Source organism: Homo sapiens, chromosome 5 (genome assembly GCF_000001405.40).
Source record: "Homo sapiens chromosome 5, GRCh38.p14 Primary Assembly".
In the NCBI taxonomy this organism is placed as follows: domain Eukaryota; kingdom Metazoa; phylum Chordata; class Mammalia; order Primates; family Hominidae; genus Homo; species Homo sapiens.
Genome location: NC_000005.10, coordinates 136,000,850 through 136,003,447, shown reverse-complemented (window position 1 = coordinate 136,003,447; position 2,598 = coordinate 136,000,850). Strand labels below are relative to the sequence as shown.

Genomic DNA, 2,598 nt, shown 5'->3' with positions numbered 1-2,598 from the left:
GCAGGGTGGTACATTCATTTCTTACCTGCTATTCTTGATGTATATATTCAGAAGATTGTGGTTTAAAAATTAATAAACAAAAATGACCAAAAATGAATATAAATACTTTCTGTAATTGTTGTGCTAGAAAATAAAATAACCGCAACTTCAATTTTAAACAATAGGACAATATCTGTATTTAATGCTAAGGTTTACTTAATATTTTAGGTAAGACAGAAAAAAAACTTTAAAAAATAAAATACTGTAGGAAGAAAGTACCAAGAAAAAGATTGATAGATTAGCTGCATAGCATTTTTGAACCTCTATTTCACAAAAATACAAAACATCATAAGCAAGATAAGAAGGCAGATAACAAACCGAGAGACATGTTTGCAACACAGGTGGCAAAGGATCAACATCCTTAATGTAAAAGGCTTTTGCAAATCAACGTAAAAATAAATTACCTAATAAATTACATTGTGTGAAGAGCATGAACATTGAGTTTACAGAAGGTTAAGTTAAAATTGACAATGAATGAAAAAGTTTCCTATTTGGATCACTAAAAAAAATGAAAGGTATAAAAAGGAATCATGCATTTAAAAAAATCTTCTTTGCTATTTTCGTAAATGAAAGATTATAATGCTTAGTGTTGCAAAGAGTAAAACTTTTCTTAAAGGCAATTTCCCTCATCTTTCAAAACTTCTTAAAGTATCATGCATGTCTATTAGCTCAAATTCCACTACTGGCAAATCAATGGATATAGCCTTAAGGGTATCTGTATTGAATGATCATCTCAGCATTATAATGACAACATTTGGAACAACCCAAAGTCAGGGGATTGGCTAAACAGGTTCAGCTAAATCTATGTAATGAGATATACGCAGCTGTTAAAATCATGCATACAGGACTATTGGTTGAATAGTCCCCATCTACTGCTTAGTGAAAAACAGGACACAAACTGCCTTGCATTTCATGTATAGTGTGTACGGTGGAGGTAGTTATGAGCTGTGAAATTTGGAGTTACCCAACCTGCAACTGAGTCCTGAGTCCTGGTCCCACCACACCTTCCTGGGTGATCTTGAGCGGAGCTCCTGCCCCTCTTAACTGCAGTGTCTTCATTTGTAAAAATGCTGTTAATGAAATTATTTACTCATAGGGTTGTACTATATGCAACCTGAAATTATCCCCTGCGAAGTACTTAGAATACTGCCTAACTCAGCAGCGTGCATTAGGTCCCGATATTTTTTTTTAATGATGCTAAAAAATAATCAAGAAAAATAGACCACTGACAGAACACATCAAAAAAAAATCTTGATAATGGGGCTGTTACTTTTTGCTTCTTTTCATTCTTCTAGGTTTTCTGCATTAAACGTAGAATACATTTACACTGTTCATAACACACACACAGGCAGACACACACAGACACACACACAGTAAATATCGACTTTACTAGGAGGTTACTATGAGTCTTGGGAAAACAGCTGAAATCCATCTTTCTAGAAAGAAAAGGAAGAAGAAACGGCCAAATGAGGGGGAAACCACCCCCACACTCTAGGAAACACAAGCTCCCCAGCCTCTTGGCCTTCAAGGCAGAGGAGGGCCACTCCCCAGCCTGCCAGCCAGCAGGCCATGGGGTCACCCTGTGGGGCCACACCCCATGCAGGCTGCATACTGCCCCATTGTCTAAGCATGGCCCCACTGAAGTCAACGAGAAACAGATGGTGAGAAACATTTCTGCTCTTCCACACCTAGGATGCGGTTCTGCTCTGAGCATCCAGCACCAGTGAGGCAATCTGCTTTTCATTTATGGGCAGAGAAAAGCCACAGAGGAAGGAATGAGGGAGGCCATAGTTCTCAGAGTGTCGGAGGAGTTGATGCAATAATAATTCAATTCCCCCTACTCTGAAAAGCAAGGCAGTCCAACCCGGCAGGATGCCTGCAGCCAGGGCTGTAAACTCCAGCTCACCTCAGGCTACCTCCAGCTGAGCAAGCCCACACCAGAACCTGTGGGCCTGAACTCTTGCAGGGGAAGAGTTCAAACAGGGCCTTTTCCAGTTTGCATCATGTGGCAGAGCCCTGTAGCCAATCAGCTGGAAGCGAGTTCCAGGTAGGTGGGATGGGAAGGATCTGGACTGGGGGGCCTCCTCACAAGGGAATCATCATGGACACTGGCAACTAGGGGGTAGCTCCTCTGGCCAGTGTAGTTCTTTCTTCCCTTTGCCTGGGTAGAAGCATGGACTTTGAAGCCAGCTGTCTGGGACCCTATCCCAGTTCTCTGCTTACTTGCTGTGTACCTTAGGTGAACTGCTTTAACTTTCTGAGCCCCTGCTTCCTCATCCGAATTGTGGGCATGAGACTAGTGTTACCCAACAGGAAATATGAAGACTGCAGGAGATAATCCATAGGAAGTGTCTACGCTGTGCTTGGGTCATGGAAAGTGCTCATTAACTGTTAGTTATTATTATTATTATAATTGCCAGATTCTCTCTGTGTCTTATTTCCTCTTTAAACCATGGCATAATTTACACTATGACACGCTCTTGTGCATAATTTCTTCTCATAGTCCTAACCAGTTGTAGTCTCTGCTTGAGGGTGATCTATGCCTGTGTACCCTCTATC

At 41.1% G+C, this 2,598-nt stretch overlaps 1 annotated feature.

Annotated features, from left to right (window-relative positions):
• Nucleotides 1,581-2,082: an enhancer, noted in NCBI's record as "H3K4me1 hESC enhancer chr5:135337055-135337556 (GRCh37/hg19 assembly coordinates)". NCBI's record gives its function as "activates a minimal SCP1, AML or CMV promoter by ChIP-STARR-seq in primed H9 embryonic stem cells {active_cell/tissue: H9 hESC(primed)}" and the evidence as "EXISTENCE:reporter gene assay evidence [ECO:0000049][PMID:30033119]".